At 35.7% G+C, this 12,645-nt stretch overlaps 1 protein-coding gene across 5 annotated transcripts in view; it reads right to left on the bottom strand.

Annotated features, from left to right (window-relative positions):
- GABRA1 (gamma-aminobutyric acid type A receptor subunit alpha1) overlaps positions 1-12,645 on the bottom strand; it is a 52,781-nt gene that overhangs the window by 26,480 nt on the left and 13,656 nt on the right. For all 5 annotated transcript variants that reach the window (NM_000806.5, NM_001127643.2, NM_001127644.2 and 2 more), the window contains 2 exons: positions 7,704-7,771; positions 155-375 (listed from right to left, as the gene is read on the bottom strand). In NM_000806.5, coding sequence (NP_000797.2) covers positions 155-375; positions 7,704-7,771 — 289 coding nt within the window. The remainder of the gene's footprint in view (positions 1-154; positions 376-7,703; positions 7,772-12,645) is intronic.

Raw genomic sequence — 12,645 nt, 5'->3', positions numbered from 1 at the left:
GAATTAGAACAGGTTGGAGAGATTTTTAAGATTGTTAAGGTTGAAAAACAAGGAAGCAAATATTCCACCATGGCTCATCAGCCTGATGATTGCCTACAAGTGGAAGGGAATGAAGTACAGAAACATTCATGAATGGCAGTGCAGCCATCCTTACCTCATGGTGTACAGCAAGGTGCCATCCTCTGTGATCCGCAGGAGTTTGTTGGGCATGGTCATGTTGTGGGCCACTGACTTCTTTCCATTGTGGAAAAATGTGTCCGGAGTCCAGATTTTACTTGCCATTAGGTTATTTAACCGGAGGACTGTCATAGGTCCTTTAAATTTTAACCTTTCATCCTTCCAGCTTTGACGGAAAAATACATCTATTGTATATTCCTAGGTAATTTTGGAAAATGACGAAGAGTTCACTGTGCTGTATTTTGCAATGCAAATATCTAACGCAGACAGTGCATAATTTTTGCAACTTTGGAAGTATAATGTTAGCTAGGTGATGTTTTTAGAAGTAAACGTGTGATAGCATGTACATGTTGATGTCAGGAGAATCACTGGTTGGTGTAATGATTTTTTAAAAAAAATATCTAAAATGCCTGACATATTTTTTGGTCAGAAAAATTTTTCCAATTATCTGCTCAGATATGTAAAAGGAAAGTAACACCCCACCTCCACCCTATCACAGCAGCACTAGAAGAAATAGAATATATCACAATTTTAAAACAAACTCATGTTAGAGGGTATTATGCACAGGAAAAAAATGTTTAAATTAGACAATTCCAGCCATAAAGATAAAGCCTAGTGTTTTGGGGGCCCTCTCATTGTCTCTGAAAACCTCATGCCCACACCCAAGTAAATTGTGATTCCAATATGGATGTAAAAATTCCATCTTTTTTTGGCGAAATAAACATTTTTTTCACAGATAATGTATATAGACTTTCAATTATCCTACACATTAAAGAAGATTGTGAAAACAAAGAAACTGCTTCTACTGGTAATTTGAATCCTTTTCAAAAAGAAAAAGAACAAAAATAAGAATGCAGAGTATGTCGGTGTGTGTGAGTATGTGTTTGTGATTGTACATGTGTATAAGCCACATGAGAAATGTTTGAAGCTCATCATCATTCACAGCCAGGGAATCTATTTATTTGAATAAACACAGCATTCCTTATGGCAATACCCAGAGACAAACATCTGCTAATCTGAAAACAAGCAATGTGACTTACCAGCTCCTAAAATTGAAAAGGGTAATATCCATCTTTCTTGCAGTATTTGCCACACTGGCACTAAATTTGGAGCTCAATGGTTTGAAATAGAGATTACCACATTCTCCGTTAATCTAAGTATACTCCAAACCAGAAAGAGAACTAACTTGAAAACATCATACTACATTTTCCTAATCCTTTAAGCCCTTTTACATCACAAGGCAGTTGTGTTTTTTAAATGTTAAACATATCGTTATTAGGACCTACAAAATAAAATGTATGTGTTTAGGAGTTTCGTGTACGAACTTAACTACATGTCTCCTTCCAAGGGCTTAAGCAATACTGGGTGAAGGCTGAATGAAGGTGTGTTCTCTGGCACATGTTTGGCATTACTGAGCCCTTACTGATCAAGTAACTAACAATTATTATTAAATGTATTATAATGCACCAGATATAGTACTAATTGCTTACTGAGATAGAAACAAGGAGGTGTAATCCGGTGACAGACTGTCTTTGTAGACAAGACAAGTTACCTTGTTTCCTGGTTAGGATTTTGTGTCTGGAAGTGTCAGATGAAAGGCACTGTGATAGATACATAAAGGGAATTTACTCACCAACAAATATCTCTTAAGCACCTAATAAATTCAGCAAAGGAGGGACTGTTTAAGCTTGGGCACTGTAAGAAAAACTCATGAAGGTGTACGATGGGCATAGAATAGTATTTTCCATGGGAAGGGAGACTGTGGATGATATCAGCAAGTGATACAATGTGCCAATGCCTGTCAGGAAAACTGGGTGGATGGATCTACCTCAGGATGTGCAGGTTTTCCTCTCTGGATGACAGACAAGCTTGTGAGGTAGGGATATAATATGTGACGAAATTTTCTGTTACTCAGGTCTTAGCCATATAAGCTCTAGTTTCTGTCCAACTGAATGACTTTAGATTGGTCAACAGCAGAAGGAATGAATGGCCACCTGCAAATCAAAGTTCCAAGGATGCTGAAGGTGACCACGTTCCCATGAATCGAGCCTTTGGTTCATTTTATTTGCTTGCTCCAAAGAGGTTTTATGAAAATAAAATAAATGTTAAGTATAAACTAAACTGAAACTAGATGTATTACCAAATCTTTGACAAGATGTATCCCAAAGGCAATAATTTCAAAAAATTATGTCAAGACTTGCCAACATCCTGATGTTCACATGTTTATTGTGTTTGTCACCAGCTTTATTTGTGCTAATGACAGACAATGGAATCCCCAAATTCATTTAGGACATTCTTCCTTCAAATACTGTACCAGTCACACACACACACACACACACACACACACACACACACACACACACACACAGAGCAACACTCGCTGGTTAATCTTCATTTCCATTTTCTGCACTGTTAGAAGTTGAAATACAAAATGAAATAAAAGCAGTTGATGAAAATTAGTTTCTGCCTAACCAACAGTGTAAATATTTGGTCTCCCATTTCTGAGAACTCTCCCTGTGTGATTGCTGTGGTAGCAGCAGGTAGTTCCCAGAAGCTAGTCCTATAAGATGACCTTGCCCCATGGGCACAGTTCATTAGACCAAGAGTGGGCTTCTGGATGAAGATTAGCCAGAACCCCCTCTTTTTCTGTTTTTTCTTTCTTTTTCTTTCTTTCTTTCTTTCTGTCTGTCTGTCTTTCTTTCTTCCTTTCTTTCTTTCTTTTTTTCTTTTTCCTTTTTTTTTTTTTCTGAAGGAGTTTCACTCTTTGTTGCCCAGGCTGGACTGCAATAACGCGGTCATAGCTCACTGCAACCTCCACCTCCTGAGTCAAGCTATTCTCCTGGCTCAGTCTCAGCCTCCCGAGTAGCTGGGATTTACAGGCATGCGCCACCAGGCCTGGCTAATTTTGTATTTTTAGCAGAGATGGGGTTTCGCCATGTTGGTCAGGCTGGTCTCAAACTCCTGACCTCAGGTGATCCGCCCGCCTCGGCCTCCCAAAGTGCTGGGATTATAGGAGTGATCCACTGTGCCTGGCCAAAGCCCCTTCTTAAGGAAGCTAGAAAAAGAGAGAGGCGAGCAGCAGAACTATAGCATAATGACTATGGATGTAAGTTCTGAACCTACCTGCTGAGTGGCCTTAGGTAATTATTTTACGCTTGCTAAGTCCCCAGTTTCTTAATCTATAAAATGGGATAATTCACCCTGCAATCGTGAGAAGTGAGTTGAGACTTGTGAGAATATCTTTTAAGAGTGCCTAGAACATAGGAAGCTGTTAGTAAAAGTTAGAAATTATTATCTGTCTCCCATTTTATTATTTTATCAACACAAATTTATATTAGGTTTTTATGTAGCTGGTCATGAAAATGTGTTTCTCTTTAGAAGGATTGTAGGAAAGGAAATCTAAGGAAAGTAAGAAGGTGGCCGAAACCAAGTTAACTAAAAACAAAATGCAGAAGAGGGGACTCCGTGGAAGAGAGGTTGGACAAAGGTAAACCTCTCCTAAATAATTTGCTCAAGTTTCCAGGCTCCAGCCCCCACCACTCAAGTGAAAAGTATGAGTTGCTCTGTTCAATAGTGTAGGTCCCTGGAGAATGTGAGTCTTAGTCTGAAGATCTGGGACAAAACATCCGCTATGTTCCTAAATAAATATTGTATTGAAGTGTTCCTGCCTGTGCCATTTATTACCATCTGTGTGTATTTTGACTTAATACATTTTAAGCACTATGGAAAACAAGGCTCTGTGATTGTACTGCCTGGATATTTCTGTCAGAACCTAGTGCCCTGGGAATGTTCTGTTTGATTGCCAATTAATGGTTTTTAAAATAAAGTTAGAGAATTGTCCTAATTTTGTTTGCTATTCCAGATGAAGTCAGATGCCTTGGGAGCTATGGAGTCTCTAGGGCTAAATAACCTGGGTTCAAGTTGCTACACTTAGCTAGCAGGTCACTTTCCTTCTCCAGGAAATGTAGACAAGAATAATACTTAGCTAAAAGGTTTGCACAAGGATTAGATGAAATTTCTAGAAAGCATTTAGCATGGTGCCTAATGTGTTGTAAGCATTCAATAGCATTAAATCTTGTTATGTTATTAACGTAGATTAATTTATTAGTTCTCACTTTAAAAACTACAAAATTTTCCCATTTTGAAAAATAGCTTTGTCTTTCTGCCTTCTAATTTTGATTGCTTCTAAATCATGCTGCTTCTTCTTGTACACAATTCTCCTATAATGTAATTTAAATGATTAATCTTCTAAAGCAAGGTGGTCAGATACAATTTCTACCAGCTACTAGCAAACCAGTGGCAGACCTATGGCTAATCTGATCATTTGACAGAGCAATTGAAACATTGTCTTGTTCAGAGGTTTTAGGCAATAGGGAATATTGTTGGTTGGACACGCTGTTCCTTATTCCTGATATTTGACCAAATGTAAAATATAAAATGTAGATTATAATCACAGGTTTGAAGGTGTATCAAAAAGCCTATTCTAAGATTTAAAAACTCCAACATTGGTTTATGGAATCACAATTAATCTGAAGCAATAACTCAAAGGCATGTCACCTATTTTTTAAGAAAAGAGAAAGGCTTTTGATCGCCTGTGGCTTCATTTGGGCATTGTCCTTTAACAACTCCTATTGGACATTGACTCTGTGAGCACCATGCCAGGTGCCAGAGACTGAGATAGAATGGCCATTAAGCAAATTTTACATTATTATAAGTAGTAAGATGAGTATTGCCATCAGTGTGTGATGTTTTTGAATGTTGCATGCCCTCTCTTGATGTTTTCATCAATGAGAAAAAGGAAATTTCTGTATGCTCCCAATTCCCCAATTCTTCTACTGGGGAAAAAAGAAGGAAGGAAGGGGATTTAATCTGATAGGTTAATTTGGAAAAAAAACATCAATTTTACCTATTTCAGTCCTTTTCTCTTGTCTTTTCCATTTGGCTGCTGGCTGCCTATAAGAGTGAAAAATTCTCCTGTGCTCTTCCATGCTGGAGGTTTTACATGCATAATGTACACCCCAGCAAAGGAAAGTCAACACTGCCTATGACTGGGTGGGTTAATCTGGTTGATTCTGGTGCCTAATCTCTGCAAATCTACTTGTCTACAGATATAAGTCACATTCTGTAATATCATCATTATTAGCAATATATATGACATTTTAATTCCCCATGCCTTCTACCCTATTGTCTTATATCTCAAAGTTTCAGAACACAGATAAGAAAGAGGGCATAACTTATTAGGTCCCACAAGACCTCATTTTTTTTTTAATATTATAGGCTCCTAAACCTATCACCAAGAAAAGAGTAATTTAACATTTACTCTAAAATAACAATGAACTAATACTGTGAAAGATGTGAAACACATGTGCCTTTACAGGTTTGGCAACAATTTAAGAAAATAAGATATTTATTTATAAATAAGAGAAATAAGTTTACAAAGCAGTGCTATATATGTGGCCGAAAGCTAAAAGGTATTTTATAGTCAATACATGTGATTAGAATACAAAAACGGAAAGTCAATTTTTTATTGGACTAATAAAAATGATTTCATAAAGCGTTTGGGTCTTGATTTGGGCCTCTGCGGAAGTATTTGATTTAGATGGGTAAAGAGTAGAAGAAATTTCCATGAGGTCTGCATGGCATGATAAGGAGCTCAGAGGTAAAAATAATAATAGCTATCATTTATTGAGCACTATTGATAGACACTTTATTTGCACATCTCATTTAAAACTTATAAAAATGTTGAAGGAATAGGCAACTATAATAATATATACATTTGAAAGACTTTGAGCCTTAGAAGCTTAAGCAATTTGTTCAAGGTCATGCTGCTGCTGATGGTGAGATTTGGATTCAACCAGCTTGAATCCCAGAGCCAGCCCTGCTAACCCCCACACTGTACTGCCTTGCAGAAAGCAGGACTAAAACAAATAGTTAATATTGGGAACAAGTGACAGAGAGTGGCAAAATCATTTATGGGAATACAGGCAGAACAGTTTTTATTTGACCTTAAACATGACTGGGACCTAATAAGCATTCTTAACTATAAAAGTACCATGAGAGAATAGTGTGGGAAGACTGAGTTCCAACATGAGAGAATCATGAGTCCTCAGAGAGTTGTCAATTTAGTAAAACACATTGTATCACATGTTATTTCAATAAAGTGGTCTACAGACTGACCATAATTACAAAATAAATCGTAAGATGCATACATTCACAAGTATGATTGACTTTCATATTATATTTCTTGCATATTAGTAATGGCTAAAATTTGTTAAGTGGCATTATTAATCCCACCTTATACATGAAGAAACTGATCTGGAGAGATATTAAGTAACTTCCCTAAGGATATACCCTTCTATGTGAAGTAGCTGGCATTATAAACCAGGCAATCTGGTTCAGAAATCTGCATTCTTAGTTACCACTCTGTTACCTCTTATATACTCCACATATTTTTCTTTGTCCAGTTGGCATATTTCAAAACTTGTCTTAAAATCTAAAATATCTGATTATCCTCTTGGCCAGAATTTCCCAACGTTCACTTCACAGAATATTAGTTCTACAGAATATAAACAGGGGTCAAATGACAAAAAAGGTCTTGGGCAAATACAATTGTGAAAACACCAGATAAAATATAGTTTTGTTTGTTTTACCTCAGAACTTGTCAGGGCTTTTACTCTGCCATTCATAGTTTCTGTAAGTTTTATTCTGACCCTCTGTGAGCTATTTTGAAATCAAAATACTTTTACAGTAAGCTGGTGCTAACATGAGGCATTTCAAAAATAGTATTCAATTAATGTATCTTTGAAATATTCATAATGGTATGTTTCCATGACCACTTTATGATGTTTTGCTTATATAGAACCTTGGCTGTTATTAGTTCAGGAATATTATATAATTTCTGTAGAGCTCTATAACTCCCATCAGACAGAAGAGAAATTCATGTTAATTTATTTGAACTAGAAAAAAAGAGCAGGTATAGATTCATTGTATTTCCACTCTGGATAATACTTTAATGAATGCTTTTTGCAATGAAGCAGAATGTTTCCTGGTGGTGTGTTTTAAGTATTTTTGTCTAATTCTGGCCAACTTTTACACTCATTTCCTTTTAGTTTTTAGTAGCCAAAAATAATTTAGAAATCATAATGTTTATGGCCATTCTATAACAGTTCTGGTTGCCTGAAAACAGCATCCTTGAATCAACATGGCCTGCTAACTAAAATGAAACATAACTCATACTGTATGGCTTGTGGGGTATTAACCAAGGCAAACCAATCATTTAAAATATTTTTTAAAAAAAGATGACTGCAGTGGTTGAAAATCATGGAAATAGGTCTGATCTGGAATGCAAATGAGTATTTTTCTATTGTATAAATATTATATTACATATTACATATTACACACAGAAAGACACAAAAGTATAGCCAAGACTTTTCAGGTTGCTCCCTAAGAACTTAGTTTATATTTTTCTTTGAAAAGTTAAATTTTAAAAATTCTTCAAGAAAAGCAAAGATAAAGTGTCCACTTACCATATCATGGTCTGAAACGGGTCCGAAACTGGTGACGAAGATATCAGTCTTCACTTCGGTTACACGCTCTGTTGAAGCAGGAAATTGGGCGAGTGAGTGTCTGTCAACCGTCCTTATTAGATCTCACCACCACATACTGACACCCAAATGGGAAATTGATTGTCTTTGATTAGCTATTTCTAAAATTGGTCCACTGTGTAGTCCTGATAATTTACTGCTTACACATAAAATTTCACAGTTAATATTTTCTATGGAGAATGAAGCCTAAATATGCCACTTTGGGAGGCAGACTTTATGGAAAACTCAGCTGCTGCCTAATGAATTCTTCAAGAGTGGACATACTTGCCTAAATGATACTAAACTGCTTCACATTGTAATGAAAATACATTAACATGTTGGTATAGCTTAAGCTTAAGTATTTTTACATGGCTAGACAGATCCTCCAGGTATTTAGGCTCCTCTTGGGAAATAGATAGTGTACTTTAGCAAGCGTTATTAACTCTGTAAGGACTCAAGAGTATGTTTTATAAATGTTTGCTTTCTTGCACTAAATCATAACTGAGTTATCCAATTATTCCCTGGGGAAAATATGACATCCCATATAAGTCTCTTCAATTTTCAGGATGAGAAGAACATATTATGGCACAGAAAAAGTTCACTTAATATATTCTGTTTCACATTCCATGTGATTTTATTATATTGTTCTCTGATGGCACATACATCAACCAATAAAGCATATTAATTATAGTGCTATAATAACTGAACACAGACATTTCCAGAGAAATACTGCCATTCTCCAAGAAATAGAAAAACAATGCTTTCAGAAAAGGAACAATTTGTTGAGGGGTGAAAACGAAAAATATGACTTTATAATTTTCATCTCTAGCTCTGAAAAATGCAGTGCAGTATCTTTAACAGTTCATTTACTTTTTTATTTTTTATATTTATTTTATTTTATTTTATTTTATTTACTTTTTAAATTATTTTTAATTTATATTTTTCCCCGGGAATAATTTGGATAACTCAGTTATGATTTAATGCAAGAAAACAAACATTTATAAAATGTACTCTTGAGTCCTTAAAGAGTTAATAAGTCTTGCTAAAGTACACTATATATTTCCCAAGAGTATCTTAAACACCTGGAGGATCTTTCTAGCCATGTACAAATATTTATATGCCAGGGTATTTGCATCTCTGGCATATAACATAAAAAAGGTGATTCACCTTTTATAAATTCCTTTGAATTTATAAAATGATCATTTCCTTTAGAAATCAAGAGCTGGCCCTTTTCCCTTAGCAATTTACTTGTGAAGAGTTAAGACTGTCAGTATAAATTTATCCCTAGAAGGTCATGTTATACCCTACACATAATGTGTAAGTCAGCTAAAAAAATAATTTTGAATCAGAGATATTCCCTTCAATAACAATACAATATTTTTGGAGGGATAGCATTGGGAGATATACCTAATGCTAGATGATGAGTTAGTGGGTGCAGCGCACCAGCGTGGCACATGTATACATATGTAACTAACCTGCACAATGCGCACATGTACCCTAAAACTTAAAGTATAATAATAAAAGAAAAAAAAATTAATTTACTTCAAACTGCTTAAATGAGCCCCTTGATGTAGGAATTATCTGCAGTTTACCCTTTTAAAAGCTCAAAATGAGAACATAGCTTATGACAATGAAAATAAACCCCTCCTTATACTTTCCTCTCTAATATATCTCCTTTGCCACATACCCAAGAAATTCTTTCATTTGATTTGTCATCAGCTCTTGGCAAGTGTCCAGTGGCGGGGCAGCAAGGGGGGAAGTTTCTGTGGCTGGAAAACTCTGCTAATTTTCTAACACTGTTGAAAACATTAACATCCTAATGTCTCTGAGAAATCATGTCTTAAATAAATATGGTCAAACTTGTTTACCCATGTTTCCCCAAATTATTTGGGGCTGCTACTCTAAGATATTTCAAAAGCTGTAGGGTACGCTTGAGGCGTATATAACTATATAATACATTATGTTGTTAGAAAAAAAAAAGCTTCAAAATATAAGTTTAAAAAACTCAGAAAGACATGAAAACAAGTAAAATTTCCTTTCCTGGAATGCCACCATCCACATAAATCCACTCATATGGTTTGGATATTTGTCCCCGCCCAAATCTCATGTGCACCTTTAATTCCCAATTTTGGAGCTGGGGCCTGGTGGGAAGTGTTTGGATTTTGGGGGTGGATCCCCATGAATGGCTTGGGCCATCTCCTTGGTGATAATTGAGCTCTCTATCTCTGAGTTCACCTGAGATCTGGTCATTTAAAAGTGTGTGGCTCTCTCTCTCACTTCTGCTTTTGCCATGTGATACATCTGCTCCCCTTTCACCTTCCACCATGATTGGAAATTCCTGAGGCCCTCATCAAAAGCCAAGCAGATGCCAGTGTCATGCTTGTACAGCCTGCAGAATACTGAGCCAATAAATCGTGTTTTCTTTATAAATTACCCGTCTCAGTTATTTCTCTATAGCAATTCAAGAATAGTCTAACACATCCACTTTCTATTCAAATATAAACTTAATCATTTTCCTCAAACCACATCCTCACTTTTACATATACACACTGTATATGTGTATATATATATATACACAAATACTATATATTACATCCCCTAACTCCCAGACAACAGGTATCTGTTTTTCCTGGGAATTTTCTACAATATTGATATCTTGCTGATAAGTTTTGAAATAACATATGTTTTGAAGCGATAATTCAAAAAGATGAGATTAGTACTGGAGGCAAAAATGAGAAAAGCAGAGTAGTAAAATAAGTAGTAAGCACAATAGATTAAGCATCTAAATACTCAGATTTAAACTGATTTTTCTCGAGAACAAGCTATGTGATTTTAGGTGCAATACTTTAATCTCTCTGAGTCTCTATTCTTACATTTTGGATGAAGAAATAATACCTGCTCAAATGACTACATAGCATTGGAGTGATGTTCAAATAACACTGTGGTGCCAAAACACTTTGAGAGGCATCTATTGCGTACATTAATTTAGTAATAAATGTTTATTAAACATTTTCTATGTGCCACTTAGGCACTCTTCTAGGTAACAGTAATACAATGATGAGTAAAACTGTAAATGCTTCTGTTCCTCTGTAGCAAACCACATACTTACTTTAGGAAAAACATATTTTAGGTCGATTAGGGGATGGATAGAGATGTGAGTACCTACAGAGTTATGCAAAAACACATATATACACATTCTGCTAATTAAATTCAGATTATAAATGCTCTGAAAAAATGTCATTTGAAGAGATAAAACTTGAAATGAGACTTTAAAGATGGGAAAAATTTAGTAAGATCCAGGGAAATACATTAAGGAGAGGAAAAAAATTAAAAAAAAGAAGGAGGCAAAGGATCTGAGGTGAAAATAAATGTGTTAAATGTGTTATGTTTAAGAAACAGAAAGTGCAGTATATCTGGATCCTGGTGATGCTGAAGATCATGGCACAAGATGACAATCTAGAGGTAGGTGGGACCATATCTGAAGAGCCCTGTGCATTTCAGCTAGCAGTTGACCTTTATTTTGATGCAGTAGGAAGCCTTTGGGTAATGAAATGAAATGATGTAACTTGCAGTCTAAGAAGATAGCTGATGCTGTGTGAATAGTGAAATGCAAGAGTGACTGTAATAAAAAAAATGGAGGAGGGAATGAATAAGAAAGAATTGTAGGTGGTATTTTGTTAGTAATCCTATCACAACCATTTGTTTAATATGGTATTGGCCATATTTTCCCCGGAAATGCTGTCTGCTGAGGAACTCAGAGTAACAGTTCCATGGGTTCATAACTGATGATGGAGGTCTATTGCCTTATTTAAGCTATTTTGTGTCTATTGATTCACAGAGGTAGGCACCACATGGAGACTAAATGGACTAATATTAGTCATTATAATAAAATGTATCTGAAAACCCTACTTTAAAATGGTCCTGTTTGGAAACTGAAAATATCCTGGGCTCCTACATAAACATCAATGTATACTCCTGGATAAAGCAATGTTCCAGCTCCCTGCTGACCTGATTGATTGGAGCAACATTTTTGTCCCCTGTCCTTCATCTCCATTCAATTAATGCCTCAGAAAAACAGGAAACTATCCCCTAGATGATATGTAGAGCTACTTAGTTTTGGCTGTATTCAGCTACTAAGTCTAGATATGGGGGTAGACACCCAAGTTTCAAGGCGTTTGACCAGTCCCTGATTCTTCAGTGTTTTGGGATTCCAAGAACTCAGATGATACAAGCATGTCCTAGGAAGAAAGGTCGATATTATTGCAGGAGCTATTTATCTTATTTCCACTGATAAATTACCTCCATATGCTGTAATATGAGCAGTTTCTATGGACATAGGGCTAATCTTTAGAAAAAAATGTATATTTTGCTGTTGGAGCAATGGGTTTCTTTTGGTCAGTAGAAGTCTTTTTTAAATTTTTATAATTTTTAATTGTTGTGAGAACATAGTAGGTGTATGCATTTACGGAGTACCTGAGATGTTTGGATACAAGCATGCAGTGAGTAATCAGTATAAGTCTTGATCAAAATTGTACAAACTGTGATAACTCTCAGGCACCCTATTTCACATTCACAGGGTAGCATTTTGTTATACGAGAATAATACTATTAACAATCTTACAGAAATATGCCAATACTTAGGGCCTTGCTTTCTCTTAAGTTTTCCAAAAATGGCATTCTGTGACGTATAGCAAATGAGATTCTCATCTCAGGAACACTACGTTATTTTTCAAGTACAGAATTCTGATTCTGCCAGAAAAAAAAGGAATGATCTATAGACAACATTTTGTTAAAATCCCACATTGGATCTGGAATCAACACAGGAAATTGAAACTATATAAAAAGGTCAAGAGTAGCTGCACAAAAAATGGCTGTTTACTAATACT

Source organism: Homo sapiens, chromosome 5, assembly GCF_000001405.40.
Source record: "Homo sapiens chromosome 5, GRCh38.p14 Primary Assembly".
In the NCBI taxonomy this organism is placed as follows: Eukaryota; Metazoa; Chordata; class Mammalia; order Primates; family Hominidae; genus Homo; species Homo sapiens.
Note: the sequence above shows the minus strand (reverse complement) of the source record. Positions and strands in the feature narration are given on the sequence as shown.